Source organism: Homo sapiens, chromosome 2, assembly GCF_000001405.40.
Source record: "Homo sapiens chromosome 2, GRCh38.p14 Primary Assembly".
Classification (NCBI taxonomy): Eukaryota; Metazoa; Chordata; class Mammalia; order Primates; family Hominidae; genus Homo; species Homo sapiens.
Window position 1 is genome coordinate 210,479,551 of NC_000002.12, and position 23,169 is coordinate 210,502,719.

Here is a 23,169-nt window from a genome sequence, read left to right on the forward strand (position 1 = left end):
ACTCCTGACCTCAAGTGATATGCCTGACTTGGCTAACCTTACTTTTCTTTAAAGACCCTTCTCCAGCAGCCACATGCTGAGATAGTGAGAGTTAGGACTTCAACGTATGAATTTGGGGGGCAACAATTTTAGCCCCAAATAGTACCTATGCTTTCACCTGTGGCTATGGTGGCTGAACACATTTGTGGCTAACACAAATTTGACAGTTATAATTTTTTATGGATCATTCTACTTTTGATAAATTTAGGATGATTTTTTAAAAAAATGTAATGTTCCTTCTTTTAATCACTGTAGCTGTCTTGTGTGAACTTTCAGGAAATAATCATTGTATTATTGCCTCTAAAACTGAATACTTCTGGAAATCTGGGATGATTGATAACAGAGAAAACAACTATATTCTGAGGGCATTTTAGTTCCATTCTCAGACTTTAATTTCAAAATGTTATAATGTATATTAGGGTGAAAACTATGTTAGTTACAAAGAGGCCTCAAAACATAATCTCCAAAATACATAGAAATGTATTTTTCTTAGTTCAGATTAGATTTGCTCCATGTGGCCATTCAGGATCACAGATTCCTTCCATCTCTGTTCCCACCTCCCTCAGAGTGTGATGCTCTCATCAAGTCCATGCTGGTCATAGGTGTGTCGGTATTGCAGCTTGTGAGAAGGTCAGGCACACCCAGAGAAGTGCACAGACCAGGAAGTGGGATTTGTCACTTCCCTCGTGTTCTACTGGTGAGGATTTAGTCACTTGGCCACCTCTAGCTGCCCAGGAGGCTGTGAAATGAAGTTCTCTGCTGAACAGCTATGTGTTCAGCTACAATGAAAGAAGGGGAAGACTGACTTTGGTGGACAGTTAATGTCCTCCAATACATGATGGCAGTTTTAGTAACTGATAGCCCCTGTCTGCCAGCAAAGGCGCAGCATGCTATAGTGTCTGTGGTGTTCCTTTTGCCTCTAACCTCCTAGCAACCATGCCTTCTCTGTTTCTTCCTACCTATTCCCTTGATCCTTGTTAGCTGGTGGGTCTTTGGGGTAAAAGAGAGATCTTGAGACTCCATATCCTATATTTTTTCTAGAAACTCCCCACCTGCTTTCAAACACACATATACGCACACAGACAGACACACACATACAAAATCAAGCAAATGGTTTTTACTTTTTTCACTTTTCTCCTAAGTACCACTTGTCTCTTTTTTTGTTGTTGACATTACCTTATTTTCTTTTTAGCTCAAAGAAGTGTAAAGCAAGAGCATCTAAGCTTGAGTCTAATATCACCACACTGCTGGTTTAACACCCAGCTGGGACTGTGTACTACTGAAGCAATTTTCTGTTTCGTTCATAGTACAGAATTCATGGATTGACAGGAGCAATTGCCAGTGGAGGAAACAAGAACATAAACAGATGTACACCAAGCGCACTATGGAACACTTTTAATTTCCTGGAGACAGTATTTCTTATGGCACTGGCAGCCTTTCCTCCCTGCCTTGTCAGGATCTTATTAATGTGCTGACAGATTCCTTTCTCTCAATGTACCTGCTGGGTGAGAGCTGCTATTATATGGAACACAGGTGTGCTGGGGTTTCCTTGGGAGATTAAAAAAGATTGTGAGTCCAGAAAGTTGGTAAAAGATGTACAAACATTTAAGCTTTTTCCTTTCTCCACCTAACACTTGTGATGGGCTCTTTATCAAGCAGTGTTAGTATGTGTCTTTAACGAGAAAAAAGAAAAGGAGACTTCCCCCTTTGCTGTTGAAAATATGTGTCTATATTGCATTGTTAAATTTATGCAGGTCCCCATTTCTCTATATGATTGAATTTCATAATGATGGGAAGGATGGAAAGTATCCCCTTCTGGAGGGGTCTTCTCAGGACGCTGAATTGTTAATCAAGTGGATTGTTTTTGCTTCCATCCCATCCAACCACACAAAACTCAGCCATGGAAAGATGATATATTACCAAAGCCCTGCATTGTCCCATTCTGATGTGTTCTTTTGGCATATCTGATAGTTGTACACCCTGGCAGGGGAGAGTAGCCAACAGAGAGATACTCAGGCCTTTGCAGTCCTTCTTTTAAGATTTGGAATTGCCACACAGCAGGTGCTCTTCAGTCATTTGAAAGAGAAAACTTAACATTTTCCTACTTGCCTAGTAGCCACGTTATTTGTGCTTCATTTTTCCTTTCTATTTGCCTTGAGGGCAGGTGTATAGGTGAGTAACTGTAAGTAGAATGTAGTTCATAAGAAGTGGAGAAGCTGCTACTTCAGGGCAATAGGAATTTAGCAGTGGAATTTATAGACCTAGAAGGACACTTCAAGAATCCAGCTGGTTCATCCTGTGATTGCCTTGTGGGATCATCTTGAACTGACCATGCTACTGGTCAGCCAGTGGCTATGGCAACAGCCAGGGCTGCAGCTGCAGAGAGGAGCTGGCTTCTTTAACTGGCTTCTTATACATCATCACAACACCTGGGCTGAGCCTCAAAGCCTGGGCCCAGGACTGTTTTTGGAACTAGCTGAGAAAGGGAGGATGAAATTCTCAGGACTAATTTCCTGCCTCCTGAGGGACAGGACTTGGCATTCAAGGAGTTATATAAAACTTTTTTCCCTGGGTAACTCCGAGTTCGGAAGCAGCAATTCTCATACATTGTATCAGGAGCTTGTTTAAAACACAGATTCCCAGACCTCAGGAGGTTTGGGTTGAATCTGCATTTTAAAAATCTTCATATGAAACTCTTGTAGACTACGTTGAATCCCTTTTTTTTTTTTTCTTTTGAGATGGAGTCTCGCTCTGTCTCCCAGGCTGGAGTGCAATGGTGCGATCTCGGCTCACTCAGCTCACTCTCGGGTTCCAGCAATTCTCCCACCGCAGCCCCCTGAGTAGCTGGGATTACAGACCCGTGCCACCACGCCTGGCTAATTTTTTGTATTTTTAGTAGACACAGGGTTTCACCATGTACCCCAGGCTGATCCGCCTGGCCAAGTGATCCGCCCGCCTCAGCTTCCCAAAGTACTGGAATTACAGATGTGAGCCACTGCTCCCACCTGAATCTTAATCTTAATGTGATTCTTTTGCAGACTATAGACTAGAGTTTGACATATGCTGGTGAGAGAGAGAGAGAGAGAAAGAGAGAGAGAGAGAGAGAGCACAATTCTGAATATAAAAGCCATGGTTCTAAAGGTTAACAGACTGAAATTCCTTGAGTTATCGTGCCCATCAATTTACATTTGTTATATCATAGTCCCTAAAGTATTTCCTAATATTTAAAAAGAAAAAAGAAATATCTTTTCACTGCAGCCTAACCCAATGTGTACTTATAGGTGGTTATTTCACTTAGATACTTTCAGAGAAAGAGCATTCATAACTTCTTTTGGCAGTCAATTAGGGTTCTTAATGCCCTCATGTTTTTTCCTTAGATCTAGACTAAATATTGATCAACCAGAAACTTAAACATATTTTGCGCAGAATAAAGAACAACTAGTCAAGATAAGTCTTTTTAAGTTATAAAAGTTTAATTTGATCTTCTTCAGGTGGAATAATTCAATTTTATACCCTTTCATCTTGGGGCCTAAGTACTTTAATAAAGATCTATACCTTTAAGCCAGGGGTAAGCAAAGTAACGCTGAGGGTACCAGGAGGCATGCTGTCGCTCTGTGTGTAAAGACTCATAAACCTTCCAGAGCAATTAGTGGTGTTGGTAGGAACACATAAAGGCCAAGAAGGGGAGGTTAATCCACATCCCCTTCCTAATAACAGCATCTACTGTTTTCAAGACTTTACTGTAGGATAGGTACTTTACTCGAACTATTTCCTTTCATCTTTGGAAAGTAGTCTCATGAGTAATACTACTACTCATCCCTCTTACATGTGAGGAAACAGAGACTTACATAGTTATCTCACTGTTCCAAGGTCACCATCACGTGAGTGGTGACCCCAGACCTTCTGACTTGAGAGCCAATATGCTTAACCATCTACTGTCCTCCTCCTTCTGCCCAGGTAGCTCCAGCCACCAGCATTTCCTCGCCCTTTTCTCCCTGCTGGACATCAGGGCTCTTTTATGCTGCCTTGACTATATGGGTCCTCTCGTAACTCCCACTCTCCATTATAAATTCCTAATTTACTCTCTCTGCACCAAGTCTGTATTTCCCTCACTCTGAATATTTAGGAACACAGTTCAAATAAACTGGCATAGCTATATATGTTGCCAGACAAACCTTTTACATCTGTCTGCAAAAATCACATTATACCTGTTTCCATGTATCTTGTTTATTCACAAGGTTGGCCTTACCTGGATATGTCAGGATTGGGCCTCTAAAATGTCCCTGAATTATATTTTCTGATTTATTTGTTGGTTCTTTTGCTCATTCATTGATCCATTTACTTATTCTTCAGATGGGTGTTGCAAAGTGTCTATGGAGTGCATATTGTATTCTAGGTTTGAGGAGTGGCTTCTGAACTGAAATATCTCACAAATAAGAAACTGAATAAGCAAACAAATGACTACAATGTGCATAAATGTTATGTCTTAAGATACTAAGGAAACCATGAGAACTCATGGTGGGAGAGTCACCTTACCTGACCTGAGGCAGTCAGGGAGGTTTCATAGAAGGTGACATCTGAGTTGAGTTTGGAAGGAAGCATAGCGATGAGCCAAGTGAAGGTGATCCAGGGGAACATCCCAGATGGAAGGGTCAACCTGTGCAAAGATGAGTCAGGCAAAGTCACAGCACTTTCACATAAATGCCAGGAGCCCAGCTGGAGCACAGAGAGGGGTCAAGGCCCAGAAAGAAAAGAGGTTGCAGAGAGACAGTGGTCTTAGAACTTCTTATAAGACATGACAAGGAGCTTACACTTTATCCTAAAGACAATAGAGAGCCATGGAATGATTTTGAAACTGGCCAATTGTCCCATAGAACTGATGTTTATGATTTCTTTTGAATAAACATAGAAATTGACCCTCCTGGTTTTAAAACTTGAGACATTTACATTTGTCTTATCTGAGTTCCTTTCTCAGGAAACCAACCATCAGGCCTCCCAGATAGTATCAAGGGACTGTAACTTACCAGATCACCACATCTGGACGATGAGATGCCAGAACCACCTATCATGACTACCTAACTGACTACCTGCTTTCTGTTGACTAACTGCTCTTCCTTACCCCTCCCTAAATTCTGTATTCTCATATATGATTGCATTTCTTTCCTGCTATAAACCCCCCTAATTTTAGTAGGTGTAGGAGATAGACTTCAGACTGATTTCCCATCTCTTTGGCACCTGATTGAAGCCTTCTTCCCTGGAAAAACTGATTGTCTCAGTGATTGGTTTTCTGTGTGGCATGCAGCAGAATCTAGACTGCATCCCTAGTGTTTCAGTAACAGTTTTTAAAAATAGATCTTGGCCAGGCATGGTGGCTCACGCCTGTAATCCCAGCACTTTGGGAGGCTGAGGTGGGCAGATCATGAGGTCAGGAGATCGAGACCATCCTGGCTAACATGGTGAAACCCCGTCTCTACTAAAAATACAAAAAAAAATTAGCCGGGCATGGTGGCAGGCACCTGTAGTCCCAACTACTCGGGAGGCTGAGGCAGGAGAATGGTGTGAACCCGGGAGGCGTGAGCTTGCAGTGAGCCAAGATGGTGCCACGGCACTCCAGCCTGGGTGACAGAGCAAGACTACATCTCAAAAAAAAAAAAAATAAAATAAAAATAAAAATAGATCTTATGAGACATAATGGACATAAGTAAACGGTATCTAAAGTATACCATTTCATAAGTTTTGACTTAGGTATATACCCATAAATCATCACCAAAATTGAGATAATGATCATTATTTCTCACCCCCAGATTCCCTCATACCATTTATAATTCCTCCTTCCTGTTTTCCACTGACAATCTCTGTTTCCTAGCCATGGACAATCACTGATCTGCTGTCTGAAAATATATAATTTCTGCATTTTCTAGAATTTTGAATAAGTAGAATTTTATAGTATGTAATTCTGATTTTTTTCACTCAGTATAATTATTTTTAGATTTATCTATATTGCAGGTATTAATAGTCAATTTCTTTCTATTTGTCAGTTTTATTCCATTGTATGAATTTGCTTCTCAAGATGTATTTCTCCATTCATCTGTTGATGAATGGTTGAATTCTATCCAGCCATTGGCTATTACAAATAAAGCTACAAGTAACATGTTCATACTTTGTATGGATACAGTCTTTCATTTCTCTTGTGTAGATATCTAGGAGTATAATGGCTGGGTAGTATGTTAAATGTACTTTAAGAAACTAATAAATTGTTTCCCAAAATGATTGTACCATTTCACATTCCCACCAGCAGTTTATGAGATTTCTAGTTCCTCCACGTACTTACTTGTCAATACTTGGTATATTCTGCCCTTCTAATTTTAGCATTCTGGTGGATTTGTAGTAGTATCGCATTGTGATTTTAACTTTCATGTCCCTAATTACTAATGCTGTTACATTTTTTAATGCTTATTTGCCAGCCAAATATATATATATGTATATATATGTGTATATATATACATATATATATACACACACACATACACACACACACACACACACACACACACACACACACACACACACCCTGTATATATATATATGGTAATGTGTTTGTTCAAATCTTTAGTCCCTTCCCCCATTCCCAGCTTTTAAATTGGGATGTTTATTTACTTAATATTATTCATAATAGCTTTGAGAGATCTTTATATATAAGTCATTTATGAGATATATGTAAAAACATTTGTTGATGTTTTCTCTTTGGCTTCAGCTTGTCTTTTCATTCTCTTAAATGTCTTTGAAGAGCATCTAATGACTGGTCACTCACAGAAGTACACGTGCCCAACACCCTTGCTTCAATCTAGGACCATCTTATGTCCTTATATCATCTTATCATCTTACGTTTTATATCCAGAGCTGCCCATAGGATGGGCTGAAGCCTCTTTTCTTTTTTTGAGATGGAGTTTCACTCCTGTTGCCCAGGCTGGAGTGCAATGGTGCGATCGCGGCTTACCGCAACCTCCGCCTCCTGGGTTCAAGCGATTCTCCTGCCTCAGCCTCCTAAGTAACTGGGATTACAGGCATGCACCACCACATGCAGCTAATTTTGTATTTCCATTAGAGACAGGGTTTCTCCATGTTGGTCAGGCTGGTCTCGAACTCTTGACCTCAGGTGATCCGCTCGCCTTGGCTTCCCAAAGTGCCAGGATTATAAGTGTGAGCCACTGCGCCCAGCTAGCTCTTTTCAAATGCATTGTAGGTCAACTTCTCCTTTGCTCAATCTGCCTTCCTCACACTCTGGCTTTTCACAGCTCTTATTCCAGAGGGCACTCCACCATAACCTCTTACATGCCAATTTCTACCTTGAGTTTGTTTCCAGGAACCAAGCCTAAAAACAGGACCCATGCCTTTTATTTATTTATTTATTTATTTTTTGCTTGCTTTGAATTCTTACTCTGTAAATGAATTGTGCTGTCTACACACACAAAAATATACATTGAAGCATGTCTTTGTTTATTCCTAGTTACATTTTTTGGAAATGAAGTATAACTCAAGAATATTCTTAACCTACATTCTCATTTCCTTAAATAAGCTATTCTTAACTTTCTCAGAAGGACCTACTGAACAACATGTCACTCTTTTGTCTTTTCGTGTGGCTTCAGCCGGAGTGCTCACCCCACCCTGCTTCTTCCCTGTTGGCTTACTGTCACTTCTCTCTGCCCTCTGACCTCAGCCATTTAGATATTCAGTTGGAGGACTTGCTCTCTGTTGTCTTACATCTAGCTAGTACAAATGATAGATGGACCTTGATATACAACAGATTCAATATGAGCCACCTGAGGTTTGTGGCAGCTCCATAATTTGTAAAAGAAGTGGCTTAGGCGGCTGTCTTGTGGGTTGGAACACACAGTGGGCTTGTCTAAGCCTGCATTTGCAAAACACTTTACATAAAATAGAAAAGCATCAGTTGTACATATTAAGGAATGAGGGGTGAGGACTTTGGTGGAAATTACACAGATCTTCCTCCAAGCCATGACTTGACATTGGTATTCTTCCGATGACTTGATGTCCTTATGTTTAAGATTATTTTAGGAGTTGTTTAGAACATTGTGATGCTTTTTTTTTTAAAGCGAAATCTGATTCTTATTTTTTAGAATTCTTTTCCCCACAGTTTGGCTTTTCTCATTCAAGTGTTCGGATAGTAAATTTACCTTTGCACATGTTTGTGCTCCCAGCTGTACATATCAATTCGTAAAAAGCCAAATGGAGAACAGTTTAGCATCAGTGAAATGTCAGGAAAATGCCCAGAAGGCACCAACACAATACTAGAGTTTCAAATTTTGAGAATGGAATTAGGCCACAAAATCAGTTTTCTTGCCTGTGTCATGGACCATGGGGATGTGTCCTAGTTCTTTTAAAAAAAGGGCATCTAAACCTCTCTCAGTACAACTTACAGGTCTGTGCTGGGGACCTGTGAGAAACCTCTGGATTTGAGACTAATTGAATCTGCGTTGAAATGGCCTTTTCCTTTCTTTATTAAAAAACTGATTTGCTCTACCACCTTTTTCTTTGGCTTGCTTGCATTATCCTTTTTTTTTTAAACTGCAGAAATCATATATTCTTCAAGGTTAGAAGAAAAAAAAAGAAGAGAAAAAATCAGAACCGAATCATACTTTTTGTTAGATCATGTGTATAATATTCCCTTTTGTGGTGGTGGAAAGAACTCACCTACTCTGGTTTAGAGGGAAGAAGAGTCAGTTGTCAATGCAAAGTTCTATTACAACATCTCCAAAGCCATAGTTTTTATTTGAAAAGCGAGGAAGTGTGACAACATATGACTGGGCCTGTGATTATCATTCAGACCCATACAGTGAAAACTCTGCCTGAATTTGTTCATGACCACATTTCTTTTCCAGGTTTGACAGATTGTAGTTTTCCAACTGTCTCCTTATTAACATGCTGCCTGTTTCCTCTATCTACTTTTGCTGCACCTGCTGTGATAGTGATTGTTTTGTGTATATAGGTACCATTGCCTTCAGAGATTAAGGGCGCACATTGTGAGCAGAAATAAACCAATGGATTTATCAGTGACTGTACAAATTCCACCTATCTTTTGGACAATAACTGAAAGATCTCTCTTGGGAAAGTAATGTTTTTCTTTGGGAATTGTGGGTTAAAAAACTATGTTTACAGCTATGCCTATCTCCTCTTCCTCATTCCTTCATTCCTTCTACTTTTTGATTTATAATTGTATTCCATAGCCAGAAAAATGCTAAAGAGGTTAATTTTTTATATTATAAAGTAAAAAAAAAATCCTAAGTAAGTTTACTGAGATTTTTCTAGCAAAACTAGAAGTCTTAGTGGGCTTCAGATTCATACTCATGAATATTCTTTTAATTCTTACTTTTATACAAATCTTGGAAATTAGAGGTACAATAGATTATTAAGAATTATGAAAATTTATTCATTGGAGAGCTTAGCAAGAAAATTGCTTATGTTAACATTTGAAAAACTATTTGGTCTACCTGCACTGCAAACTTATAGATGATGGGAAAGCTTATCTTTAAGGCCTGGATCAGTGCAAACAGCCCTGAAAAAGGAAATCTCGAGTTTAATTTACCTTTCAGAACTAAAGAATATATATTGCAGAATTTAAAGAGAAAAGGATCTTCTCTCCTATCTCCTAATGGATACTCTTTGTACCTAGGGTCAGTCTGACTTGGTGGGTGCGGTATTTAACTGCTGCTGACCTTGCTTTGAATTTCTGGCTACAGAGCATTTCAGAGGACAGAGCAAATCTTCTGTTGGGTGTCACATAGGTAGATGCATGCTGGTGCTGGTTCATTCACTGGCACATCCCAGGAATGAATATTTTCTTCCTTGCACATTGACCTTACTCTGATAGACTGACCCAGAAACAGAGCTGGTCTAGTTTTATATGTAAGTAGGAAGGAAAGTTTTCTTCCCTGGCACATACACCTGCTAGCACTCTGACACTTCTAATTTGGAGGTCACAGGAGCAAGTAAATAAATACTATTTAAGGAGCATTAAAAGAAGAAAATTTGGTTTAAACCAAAAAAATCATAAAGTGGGGAGGCAGAGCTACAAACAAGCTGTGGGACTTCAATCATACTTGCTTTCTTCCATACTATTATAAGAATAAAATAAAAAAGGAAGGAAGGGAGAGGCCGAGGCAGGCAGATCACGAGGTCAGGAGATCGAGACCATCCTGGCTAACATGGTGAAACCCCGTCTCTACTGAAAATACAAAAAATTAGCCGGGCGTGGTGGCGGACGCCTGTAGTCCCAGCTACTTGGGAGGCTGAGGCAGGAGAATGGCGTGAACCCGGGAGGCGGAGCTTGCAGTGAGCCGAGATCCTGCCACTGCACTCCAGCCTGGGTGACAGAGCGAGACTCTGTCTCAAAAAAAAAAAAAAAAAAGGAAGGAAGGAAAGCAGGCAGGCAGGAAGAAAGGAAGAAAGGATGGAAGGAAGAAGGAAGGAAGGATGAAGAAAGAAATAAACATATTTCACTTTATACACAGCCTTGCTTCAGTTGGAGAGTGATTCAACTACTCTCAGCTTTCTCTGTAACCACTCAGGAATACCATTTAGAAAAACGTTCTTGTAGAGCTAGAGCCTATTGCTAATAGTAATATTCTGGAAAATTATGGGGAGATATATATGCTTATAGGCTTACCTCTGACCTACAAATTGTCTCTAATAGAGACTGTAATTGTGCACAATCCCTTTTTTCCTCTTCTGCATAGCCATGGGAAGATTTTCTATGTAGGCTTATGTGACCTTCCTAGGTTGTCTGAAATAATCTTGCATCTAGTACATGAATATTACTTAATAAATCCATAAGTATGTACCAAGTGATTTGGCTGCAGAATCAAAATTTTTAAAATGATCCATATTAACTACATCTGAATTTATCCTTGAGCTCCTCTTCTCGTTGTAAAGTGCATTGCACCTATAAAGAGAGGAGTGCAGAATACTTGTAGAAGTTTGTGGGGGGACAGTGAAGGACATTTATTGGTCTAGTTAATGGTAATAGGATATATCCAAAGTGGAAATAAAAGAGAGGCTGTCTTAATTCAATGGTGAGCCAGGGCTATAAGTAACAAAAGGTGGATTTCTTGGGAAATGAATCAATTCATTTTTTGTACCATCAAACTGGGATCTAAAATATGAACCCCATGATACACATGTACACAATGAAACTGTTGGTCTGTTATTGTAATTCTTGAAAATCTCAGTTTATAGTTTTTGTGTGTAAGATAATATTATCCACAGAATCCTAGGTTGGGAGTCTAGTTCTGTTTCTGCTTCAGAAGACTCTTGTCTCAGAGAAGACCCTTGAAACTCTGTGGTCCCTAGGATCCCTCATCTGTAAGATATAGAATGTTCTAGGGGCAAAGTTGGAAAATCCCCTTGAGGACTATGATGTTCCAGACTAGGACACTTTATAATGCTTCCAGGATGCTAATTTCTGGAGGCAATTAGTAGGTTTGTAAACAAATTCTTTTGAAGTGAAGGTTTGAATTGTGTATTGGCAGGAATTATTTGGATAATTGACTTGAATGAGTTTAATTGGCTATAAGAGTTTCATTTTTGTTTTGTTTCTTAGGATGATGTAATTACTGCCTGTGTTGAGTTCCTGCAGGAATGATTTAACTGTTGGATATTTTGAAATGTTCTGGTTGTAAAAGCATGTATTTGGTATCTGTGTTTTTTTTTTTTTTTTTTTTTTTTTTTTTTTGAGACGGAGTCTTGTTCTGTTGCCAGGCTGGAATGGTGCGATCTTGGCTCACTGCAACCTCCACCTCCCGGTTCAAGTGATTCTCCTGTCTCAGCCTCCCAAGTAGCTGGGACTACAGGCACGTGCCACCATGCCCAGCTAATTTTTTGTATTTTTAGTAGAGATGGGGTTTCACTATGTTAGCCAGGATGGTCTCTATCTCCTGACCTCGCGATCCGCCTGCCTTGGACTCCCAAAGTGCTGGGATTAGAGGCATGAGCCACCGCACCTGGACATGTTTGTTTTTTTCCTGGTGTTCTGAGTGTCCTGTGGCAATGGGAAGTTACCATCTCACCTCCACTGTTAAGGCACCAAGTTTCTACCTCTTGGCCCCTAAGAAATGTGGGATCACCTTGAACAGATCTGTCAGCCCTGGTGAGTTTCAGATACCTGTCTCCTAAGAGGAATCTTCTGCTAGGTTAGGGGAGGGGGTCCTATAACAGCTGGAACATAGGCCTTCCCTTCATTCTGTTAACCTGAGGAATAGTCATATCATTCTGCTCTCTCAGTTCTTGTTTCTTAACTTAGCAGGGAATTCAGTGGAGATTTAAGGGTGGTAGCAATAAAGCTTGTGAGAGTGCTTATGAGCCACTGACAGCAACCAACACTATTGTAAGGGAGTTGCTAGATAACCAGGAACCTGGTGGCTGGGCAGAAGCCGACAAAGTTGACTGCTATGAATTTAGATTGTGGCCTACCAATATATGAATAGACAAGAGTTAGACTTCACTATCCCTCCAGAATTCTTTTTCTGTGCAATACCATGTTATCATTATATAACATTCATCATTTGGAAATCTCAAAATAAGTTATAAGATATAGCAGCATTTGCTGGCTGGAAAACCTTTAGACATAGTTACATAGCTTAATGACCCAAAACTTTCTGCTTTATGTACATATGAAAGTAGAGGTTCCAAAATGTTAAGTTAATTGCTATCGTCCTCTAGCAAGTCTCTACAGAAGTCAGAAATAGGACAGCTACTGTGAATAGGTACTGGATAATTTTTCTTTTTTAAGAAATGCAAGTAAAAGCATTTACTACGTTTACTATCACTGAAGTTTGATCATCTGCAGAAAATAACTTTTAATGTGTTCTTTAGAATGAAGTATACATAGGTAGTATCTGCCTTCTTTATTTCACCATGAAGCCTAGAGGGCAACTGGTAGCACAGAATTTAGAAGATACTTTTTTTTTTTTGCCTATCTTGCTTTTATTAATTTTAGAATCTGTAAGTTCTTTGAGAAAGGTTACATACTCAGGATATGTAGTAAGAGTGCACAAAAATTGAATTATTAATAACTAAAATGAGAAAAGAAGTTTATATTGCAGGGGTTCTTAAAACTTTTTTGGTGTCTTGACTGCTTTGGCTATCTAGTGAAGCCTATTAACCCCTCTTGGAGTACTGTTTTAACAAACAATATAAAATACAAAGGATTCAAAGAAAACATATCACATTGAAATACAGTTATACAATAACTTAAAACATTGTGATAGAGTAATGTGTATGCTTCTTATTTACACATTATAAACAGAATATAGCGGCTGGGCTAATAATAATAAATTCAAAGTACTGACACATAGATTTTCAAGACGTCTGCAACAACTGCAATAATAAATAAAAGTATCTATAAGTTCTATCTGTGATAAAGTCACAGGTTCTGCTAATAATACCGTGTTTTGGTGCCTGCATTTATATTTGAACAGAAAACTAAATTTCAGTTATATATTAGTGAAAATAAATGATGGAATTTTGCTTTTCAATTCAAGTTTATGGATCCTTTGAATTTTCTCCCTGGACTCCTCTCTGTGGGTTCAAAGTGAAGAAGTCTTCTGTTGGGTTCTCAGCTCATCTTTTCATCACTTGCTTCTCTTAGATAATGTTCAAATACTGGTTACAAATAGGAGAATAAATGATGAGTTCATTGGACGAGAATTGAGGGGAGTTAGCAGAAGATTTCTGTAAGAACACAGTCTGGGTGTCCCAAAGCAAGTTATAAAGTAATACAATTTTTCTTCGATCCCACTTACCATCCTTTCTGCATCATCTTCCTCCAAGTCAGGTGCTCAGTGTTTCTGAGTGAGATGAACAATTCAATCAGATGTAATTGTTAGTCACAATGTTTTAGTCTTCCCATGGATGTATTAAGTATATATATTTACATATATTCTACAGGAAGTGGCACTATTTAATCAAGGAAATCCAATGCCAATAATGGATTTTGGGGATCTACCCAGGATAGATAGGTAAAGGGATATTTTTGGCCGTTACTGACGCCTTTCAGTCACCTAATGATTGGCTATTTGTCTTGCCTATTTATAAGTCAGTTGTAAGTTTCATTGGGCAAACAAAGGAAGTTGTTGTTTTTCAGTCTGCTGTTGGTTTTACCTTTCCTGGCAGTAACGTTTCCCTAGGGGCAAGCAAATACTCCAAGTTGAACATCTCATTTACAGCACTGTCATTTGGGGTGATAGTTATTTGTAGTTTGTAGAGGAATTATTTCATTCATATGAGTGAACAGATGGGTTAATAAAGCTGTCTGAAGTTGCAAACTGGTACACAGACTATTTCAGGGACATCCATCATGGTGTCATGTTGCTGAATGCTGAACTACCAATAGACTATTAGATTACAAGCACCTTGAAAACCAGAATTAAACCTAATCTAAACCCAAGCCATAGCAACAGAGTATCGAGGTAGGCTTTACTTCTAGTCTTCAAGAAGTGAAGGTAGCTTGGCATCTGCTGCTATCATGCAGGCATTAGAACATTTAAAGAAAACATGTAAGCTGTGACAATGTTAATTTCATAAGAAAAAAATGGGTTTGTATAATTTTATTCTGAAATGTGTTTCCTTTATTTTCTAACTATAAAATGGTTTTGACATCTTCAAAAACATCATCGCATAGATGCAAACATATTTTTTAAAGAACTAACACTTTATAGACTTTAGGTGAAGGGATTCTGCAAGGACTGTGACATCCAATGGGAGGGTGCTTATGTGTGGTGTGTATAGAGACCTAATAAGAACTACTTCAAAGTTTTACAGAACTTGTCAGAAGTCTTATAACTCGTACCAAGGGGAAGATAACAGCAATCAAAGTTGTAAATAAACTAGATGTTGCTGGCTAGCAAGATTTCTCTACATAGACCCTAAACGGCCCTATTGTCAAGATTTGTGTGGGAGATGCAAAGGCAAACACCTATCCTGTGTGAGCACTTTCAGCTTCAAATATCATTTCAATAAATGAATGCAAAAAATAGTAAAAAAAATACAGCAGGATCATGGCTGGGCTAGGTCTAAAATAACAAAATTATTTGTTATTTTAATTGTGTGCACAAGCTGTCTCCTTTTTGTAGTGAGCTCTGTTTTGTCTTACACTTCACTGAAGTATGCACTGCATACTGAGATTTGATTGAAGCCACATAAGAAGGAAAGATTTGGAAGGCAGTGAGGGAGTCTGCCATGGTTGCTGGTTCTCTATGAGGCTCAATTGTTGGGGTGCACATGGCATGCAACACTGATGCTTGACAATATAAGGCAATGGCTTTCAGCTATGGCTGCACATTATAATAACCTAGCAAGCTTCTAAAACATACCAATTAAATTAGAGCCTTTTGGGGTGGGGTTCTGTCTTTGGTATACACTAAAAACACTCCAGGTGATTCTAATATGCAGCCAGGGTTGAAAATCATTGGTAAAATGGATGCAAATATCAGTCCATAAACTCAAATGTGCAAGAAGCAGAACTTAATTTTTTATTCCCAGCCTCAATTTTGCTACTAACTTCATTCTTTTTTATGGTTTACTTAACCCTGTAGTTCAGAGTTCTTATGCAGCGCAAAATTTTGGGGAGCAGAGGAACCTCTTATTTGTAGGTCATCTGTCCACTAAAGTTACCATTGGATGTCCCATCACCCCATCAACATGACACTTTTGGTCCAGTGGTGCGGCATGCTTCGAGAACTGGCATCTTTCTGTGATGTGCCTCCACTCAAGAACTAGGTCTGAGCCTAAGGGATGCCACAAAACTCAGTAGTCACACAAGTCATATTTTAATGTATAATTACTGATGTCTAAATTAATGCAAAAAATCCACAATGAACAAAATATCGGAAGTTTAAATAAAAACAGTGTCAGTACCCACTCTGTCCCCAGCTTTTCTTCTTGTGGTAGGAAATACTGCCTCTCTAGCAATGTGCAGACTGCAGTTTTTTCCTGCTTGTTCATTCCAGTTGAGGAAAATGTCATTTAATCCCGGAAAAATATTTTTCCTTTTGTGTTTCTGTCTTGCATATTTAATCTACTCTGGAGAATATTCTTTTGTACACCTGTTTCCAAATTAGGTGTAAAGTTTTGGAAAAGAGTATATGAAGAAAAGTACTCAGTAGGCAACTTGCAATGTTTGCTTTGCCATTTCTCTCTTATTTGTCACCGAGCATAGAATTCACTACCTGCTTGAGGTATATGTGACTGTGTATGTGTGTGTGGGTGAGTGTGTGTGTGTGCATGAAGGGATAGAGTGCCATAAGGGTCTCCTTACCTCCCTCTTTTCTTTTTTTCCTCCCTCTCTCACTCCCTCCTTCCTTACCTTCCTCCCCTCTTTCCCTCCCTGTGTTCTTCCTTCCTTGCTGCAAAATAAAGGCAAATTGGTAGGCAACTTAAGATATTTTTTATTATTTATCAAATATTCAGATACTATTTTTGCCAACATGCCCTGTAGTCCATACAGGGAATTTCTTGGACTTGCACCTCACCAAAAACTTCCACCTAGCAGGGGCACTAGAAGCTTCTGTGGCATCTGTCCCTGGGTTCTGTGATTTGCACAAGAGAATGCTCAACTTTTCCACTCCACATTTTACTATGTAAGGAATGAAACCAAAACTGTGTATGTCTCTCTGTCTCCAGAGCCTTTGGTGGAAACAAGTCCTTCTGCCTTTGTTCTCCTATCTCTCAGATGGTGGTTGATAACCCCCATCTTGTTATCAGCATTTCCTGCCTCTATTCCTTGGGTGTCTTTGAATAAATAATTTCCTTTTCTTCTAGACACAAATAAGAGCTAACATAGGAATTAACTTAAGCAAATTGAGTCTTCTTGAGGAGCTCCTGTGCAAAGATGTCTGGATGTCAGCAGATCATGTTTCTTGGCAAGAGAGAAGGACAATGAATTCATGGAGGCTAGATCATCTAGGGCCCTATTTGCAAGGAATTTGGCTGTTTCTCAGCATGAGATGAGAAGGCATCAGAGGATACTGAATAGAGAAGTGACATAACCTACATAGAACTTAACCTTAGTTGCACTACTCTCTTGCTAGCTTCCTGCTCTTCCTCCAACATGCAGGCACACTTCCTCCTCAGGGCTTTGGTACTTGCTCTTCTATTTGCTTGAGACGTTTGTCCCACAGATAGCTGCACGGCTCAGTGCCTCACCTTCTCAGCAACATCCTTCCTGGTCACCCTATTTAATACTTAAACTTCTTATACTTTTTCTTCGCTACTTTATTTTCCTTCATTGCATTTATCTAATACTATGTGTTAACTGTCTATGTCATTTATTTTCTGTCAAAGAAAAATAATTATATTCTGGACAGCTGGTCTGTTTTTTATCAAATAGGGAATGGAAATCTTTTAACTGATTATATCTTTCCTTCTTTTATTTTTGGAATTAGCTCTAATAAGCTCAGCAAACTTTGTGTAAGATCTAATTAAGGGGTATCTTCTTGTATGCTAACTCTTCCAGATTTCATCTTACTATTTGGTCATCATTACATTTGACCCAGATTTAAATTTTTAAAAAATGTATTACTGTTTTATATCTACTTTTGTTTCAAATAATCTTTAAGCAAGGCATGTCATAAAGAAGAATTTATCCTTATATCTCCTATACCCAGTGAAGTTTGTGCATATAGAACATGTTAATAAGCTGAATATGATATGTAAAATGTAATAAAATGTTAAAAATATTCATATCCTATTTACCTCGGGAGGTTTATACTTTATTTTTATTTAATTTTTTTATAATTTCAAATTTTATGTTAGATTTGGGGGTAATGAGCAGGTTTGTTACATAGGTATATTGTGTGATGCCGAGGTTTGGGATACAAATGATCCCATCTCCCAGATACTAAGCATAGTACCCAACAGTTTTTCAACCCTTGTCCCCATACCTCTCTCCCCACTCCAACAGTCTTCAGTTTCTATTGTTGCCATTTTTGTGTCCATGAGTACTCAGTGTTTAGGTCCCACTTATAGGCAAGAACATGCAGTATTTGGTGTTTTGTTCCTGCATTAATTCGCTTAGGATAATAGCCCCAGCTGCATCCACGTTGCTGGAAAGAACATAATTTCATTCTTTTTTGTGGCTGTTTAGTATCCCATGGTGTATATGTAGCACATTTTCTGTATCCAATCTACCATTAAAGGCACCTAGGTTGATTCCACGTCTTTGCTATTCTGAAGAGTGCTGCAATAAATATGTGCATGCATGTGTCTTTTTGGTAGAACAATATATACATACATATATATATATATATATATATATATCTCCAGTAATGCAGTCATGGGGTTGCTGGGCTGAATGGTAGTTCTGCTTTGAGTTCTTTGAGAAATCTCTAAACTGCTTTCCACAGTGGCTGAGCTAATTAACATTCCCATCAACAGTGTATAAGCATTCCCTTTTCTTCACAGCCTCGCCAGCATCGGTTGTTTTTTGACTTTTTAATAACGGCCATTCTTACTGGTATGAGATTGTATCTTATTTTGGTTTTGACTTGTGTTTCTCTGATGATTAGTTATGTGGAGCATTTTTTCATGTTTGCTGACGTATGAAGATGACATATGTTGTATGTCTTCTTGTTAGAAGTGTCTGTCCATGTCTTTTGCCCATTTTTTAATGGGGTTTGAGCATAGAATATTTTTCCACTGGTTTGTGTCATCTATTATTTCTTTGAGCAGTGTTTTGTAGTAGTTCTCCTTGTAGAAATCTTTCACCTCCTTGGTTAAATATATTTCTAGGTATTTTATTTTATTTTTTTCTGTGGCTATTGTAAATGGGATTGCATTCTTGATTTGGTTCTCAGCTTGAGTGTTATTGGTGTATGGAAATGCTAGTGAGTTTTGACACTGATTTTGTATTGTGAATCTTTACAAAGTTATTTATCAGTTCCAGGAGCCTTTTGGTGGGTCTTTAGGGTTTTCTAGGCGTAGAATCATATCAGTGAAGAGAGACAGTTTGACATCTTCTTTACTTATTTGGATGCCTTTTATTTCCCTCTCTTGCCTTCAAACCAGAGATCTATCTAGGCATGGAGCTGGGAAACCTTTCTGGCCCCAAGTTCTCTGCATGGGGATGGAAGGCAGCCTAAATTCTTATTCCAGTAGAGTGGGTGCTCTAGATGCTTGGAGATCTGCCTGGGTGTGGAGTGTAGAGGGCCTTGCTGGACCACAATCTCTGCACAGATAGGGCGGGAGAGCTCAGGCTGGCAAGCCAGGATAACAGGTACTCTTACTGCTTGGAGATATGCCTGTGCATGGAGTAAAGAGGGCTGTGCTTCACCATGGTGTCTGAACAGGATGGGTGGGCTGGCTCAGGCTGTTGATTCAGGTGAGTGGATGCTCCAAATGCCTGGATATCTGCCAGAGGGTGGAGCAGAGAGGGCCTGGGCTTCACCACAGTCTCCACACAGGAATGGTTGGGTGGCTTGGTATGCTGATCTGGGTGAATGGTAGCTGCAACTGCTAGGAGATCTGCCTGGGCATGAAGCAGAGAGGGCCCTGCTGTACCATGATCTCTGCACAGGCAGGGTGGGGTATCTTAGGTTGCTAGTCAATGTCACCAGGTGTTTCAAATACCTGGATTTCTGCCTGGGAGTGGAGTGGAGAGGGACCCACTGCACCGTGATCCCAGAGAAGGAGGTTGGGCCACCCAGAAATGATACACATAAACCTGTTCTATGTCTCCAAGCTGGTCCTGGCTGCAAGTCTCCTCATCCAGGAGAAACTGGATGAGCAGCTTTCCTCCAGCTCCAGGCCTGTGACAGGGGAGAGCACAATTCCAGTGCCTACTGATGAGGCACTTTCTGTAATTCTGGCTGTAGAGACCTCTACACCACTCCAGAGCAAGCGCTCCAATCTCTGGCCCAAGACAAAAATGCCTGTGCAGCCACGGTGCCAGATTGCCAAAGAATGGCTGACTTTGTATGCACTCGGGTTAAAAACGGCATCCTGCTTTCAGTCCTGGGTCTGAGAAAATGCCTGCAGCTTTTCCCTGTGTCTTTTCCTCTCAGCACTTCCAAGCCTCTCTCCAAGTTAGCTCCAGGACTTGGGAGAAAAAAGTGCTCTCCCTCAGCCTAGGTTGCTGGGATCCCCAGTGGAAAGGTGAGTAGTAGAGGGAGGCTCTCCTCCCCTCTCACGTACTGGGGCTTCACACATTGTCAGCCAGATGCCATCATGAGGGCTGTTTGCCCACGTTCTTCTCCTTGGGAGCTGGAGTATCTTTCACAATATCAGGGGATTCGTGTTGTATTAGTTTGTTCTCACACTGTATGAAGAAATTCCCAAGACTGGATAATTTATAAGGAAAAAAGGTTTAATTGACTCACAGTTATCCACGGTTTTTAGGGGAGGCCTCAGGAAGCTTACAATTATGGTGGAAGGCACATCTTCACAGGGTGGCAGGAGAGAGAATGAGTGCCAAGCAAAGGGGGAAGCCCCTTATAAAACCATCAGATCTCATGAGAACTCATCCACTATCATGAAAACAGCATGGGGGAACCGCCCCCATGATTCAATTATCTCCACCTGATCCCGCCCTTGACACCTGGGGATTATCATTTCAAGATTACAATTCAAGATGAGATTTGGGTGGGGACACAGCCATGTGATATCATCCCACCACTGGCTCCTCCCAAATCTCATGTCCTCAAATTTCAAAACACAATCATGCCCTCCCAACAGTCCCCCAAAGTCTTAATTCATTCCAGCATTAACCCAAAAGTCAAAGTCCAAAGTTTCATCTGAGATAAGGCAAGTCTCTTCTGCCTATAGGGCTATAAAATCCAAAGCAAGTTAGTTCCTTCCTAGATACAGTGGAGGTACAGGCCTTGGGTAAATACACCTATTCCAAATGGGAGAAATTGGCCAAAACAAAGGGTCTACAGTCCCCATGCAAGTCCGACATTCAATAGGGCAGTCATTAAAACTTAAAGCTCCAAAATGATCTCCTTTGACTCTTATGTCTCATATCCAGGTCACACTGATGCAAGAGGAAGGCTCCCACATCCTTGGCAGCTCTGCCCCTGTGGCTTTGCAGGGTGCAGGCTCCTCCCAGCTGTTTTCACGACTGGCACTGAGTGTTTGCAGTTTTCCAGGCGTACTGTGAAAGCTGGTGATGGATCTACCATTCTGGGGTCTGGAGGATGGTGGCCCTCTTCTCACAGCTCCACTAGGCAGTGCCCCAGTGGGGACTTTGTGTGGGGGCTCCAACCCCATCTTTCCCTTCCACACTGCCCTAGCAGAGGGTTCTCCATGAGGGCTCTAACCCTACAGCAAATTTCTGCTTGGACATCTAGGTGTTTCCATATATCCTCTGAAATCTAGGTGGAGGTCCCCAAACTTCAATTCTTGACTTCTCTGCACCCACAGGCTCAACACCATGTGGAAACTGCCAGGCTTGGGGCTTGTGCCCTCTGAAGCCATGGCCAGAGCTGTACCTTGGGCATTTTTAGCCATGGCTAGAGTGGCTGGGAAACAGAGCACCAAGTCTCTAGGCTGCACACATCGGGGGGCCCTGGACCTGGTCCCAGGAAACCATATTTTCCTCCCAGGCCTCTGGGCCTATAATGGGAGGGGCTGCCATGAAGGTCACTGACATACCCTGGGGACATTTTCCCATTGTCTTGGTGATTAACATTCTGCTCCTTGTTACTTAGCAAATTGCTGTGATAGGCTTGAATTTCTCCTCAGGAAATGGGTTTTTCTTTTCTATTGCATCATCAGGCTGCAAATTTTCCAAACTTTTATGCTCTGCTTCCCTTTTAAACATAAGTTGCAATCCCAAACCATATCTTTGTGAATACGTAAAACTGAATGCTTTTAACAGCACCCAAGTCACTTCTTGAATGCTTTGCTGCTTAGAAATTTCTTCCACCAGATACCCTAAATCATCTCTCTCAAGTTCAAAGTTCTACAGATCTCTAGGGCAGGGGCAAAATACCACCAGTCCCTTTGCTAAAGCATAGCAATACTCACCTTTATTCTAATTCCCAACAAGTTCCTCATCTCTATCTGAGACCATCTCAGCCTGGACTTCATTGTCCATATCTCTGTCAGCATTTTAGTCAAAACCATTAGACAAGTCTCTAGGAAGTTCCAAACTTTCTCACATCTTCCTGTCTTCTTCTGAGCCCTCCAAACTGTTCCAACCTCTGCCTGTTACCCACTTCTAAAGTCATCTCCACATTTTCAGCTATCTTTACAGCAGCCTCCCATTACCCAGTACCAAGTTACTGTATTAGTCTGTTTTCAGGCTGTGATGAAAAAATTCCTGAAACTGTGTAATTTATAAGGGAAAAAGGTTTAATTGACTCACAGTTCCACATGGCTGGAGAGCCCTCAAGAAACTTGCAATTATGGCAGGAGGCACCTCCTCACAGGGTGGCAGGAGAGAAAATGAGTGCCGAGAAGTGGGGAAAGCCCTTTATATAGCCATCAGATCTTGTGAGAACCCACTCACCATCATGAGAACAGCATGGGGGAAACTGCCCCCATGATTCAATTATTTCCACCTGGTCCCACCCTTGACACGTGGAGATTATCACAACTCAAGGTGAGATTTGAGTGGGGACACAAAGCCAAACCATATTACCAATTTTCCTTCTCGAATTAATGCTCACAGAGTTGATCTTTGTGCAATATCTTGCTATTTCCAAGTGGTCGAGGCACACTGAAAGCTTCTAATCCACCATCTTGGGAAAAAATAATCTCTCTCTCTCTATATATATATATTTTTTTATATATATGTATATTTTATATATATATAATATATATATAAAAGAGAGATATAGAGATATCTATGAGATACATATAGATATATATATTTATATATAAAAGAGATATAAATATAGAGATATATTTTTTATATATATATACACACATATATACATATAATGTTAAAAAGCATCTTTTCAAATAAATGCTGCTTGCATATGTTAATTTAGTTTGAACAATTTTGGAGTGGATTTCAGGACAGGAGAGAGAAAAAAGCAAAGAGCAAAACAACTCCACTCTAAAGGGAAGTCATAGTTCCTGGGTCTGAGTGGTGCTTCTTGCCTCCATCCTGCCCTG

At 40.1% G+C, this 23,169-nt stretch overlaps 1 protein-coding gene across 2 annotated transcripts in view, besides 1 other annotated feature; it reads left to right on the forward strand.

The window, feature by feature from the left end:
• The window catches only part of CPS1 (carbamoyl-phosphate synthase 1), a 201,423-nt gene that overhangs the window by 1,866 nt on the left and 176,388 nt on the right, over nucleotides 1-23,169 (forward strand). The gene's annotated exons all lie outside the window — the stretch shown is intronic.
• Nucleotides 1,836-2,337: an enhancer, noted in NCBI's record as "NANOG hESC enhancer chr2:211346110-211346611 (GRCh37/hg19 assembly coordinates)". NCBI's record gives its function as "activates a minimal SCP1, AML or CMV promoter by ChIP-STARR-seq in primed H9 embryonic stem cells {active_cell/tissue: H9 hESC(primed)}" and the evidence as "EXISTENCE:reporter gene assay evidence [ECO:0000049][PMID:30033119]".